The sequence below is a fragment of the Homo sapiens genome, chromosome 10 (genome assembly GCF_000001405.40).
Source record: "Homo sapiens chromosome 10, GRCh38.p14 Primary Assembly".
NCBI classification, from domain to species: domain Eukaryota; kingdom Metazoa; phylum Chordata; class Mammalia; order Primates; family Hominidae; genus Homo; species Homo sapiens.
Window position 1 is genome coordinate 133,649,100 of NC_000010.11, and position 772 is coordinate 133,649,871.

Here is a 772-nt window from a genome sequence, read left to right on the forward strand (position 1 = left end):
GCATGCTGGGATTGTAGTCCTGTAGCCCTTTGACCAAAGGGTTGGGAGTGTTTATGAGAATGCATCTTCCAACAATCCTAGGGAGGCGCGCACAGCCCTGCCTCTTCCTCCGGTGACGCGCACTTTCCCGGAGCCCGGTGCATGCTAGGATTGTAGTGCTGCAGCCCTGTGACCAAAGGGCTGGGAGTGTTTATGAGACTGCATCTCCCAGCAAGACCAGCGAGAGGCGCGGAGCCTCGTCCCTTCCTCCAGTGATTAGCGCACTCTCCCTGAGCCTGGTGCATGCTGGGATTGCAGTGCTGCAGCCCTGTGACCAAAGAGCTTTGTTATAGTTATCTGTGAAGTGTTCAACAAACTACTTTACTTCATTATTACTGGAAGCCAGAAGCTCAGTTGTGTTCACTTTTTGGATTTTATATCAGTGAGATTGTGTAATATGTATACTTTTACATCTACTTTCTTCTATGCAACATTATATTTATGATATTCATGATATTGCAGATAGCTATAGTTTATTTAAAAATTATTTTTTACATTGTGGTAAAGTATACATAAAATTAGCCATTTTAGCTATTTTAAGTGTGCAGCTCAGAAAAATTAACTACTTTCACATTGTTTTGCAACTGTCATTACCACTCATAGGGACCTTCTTTCAACTTGCAGAAACAAAACTCTATACCCATTAAATAAGCTCCTTGTTACTCCCCCTCTAGCTCCTAGGAACCACTCTTCTATTTGGGTTTCTAGAATTTAACTACTCTAAGTATCTCAT

The 772-nt window shown here is 42.4% G+C and overlaps 1 annotated feature.

Moving 5' to 3' along the window:
* Window positions 572-772: a silencer, noted in NCBI's record as "peak1139 fragment used in MPRA reporter construct". NCBI's record gives its function as "represses an SCP1 promoter by STARR-seq MPRAs in K562 erythroleukemia cells {active_cell/tissue: K562}" and the evidence as "EXISTENCE:reporter gene assay evidence [ECO:0000049][PMID:32103011]".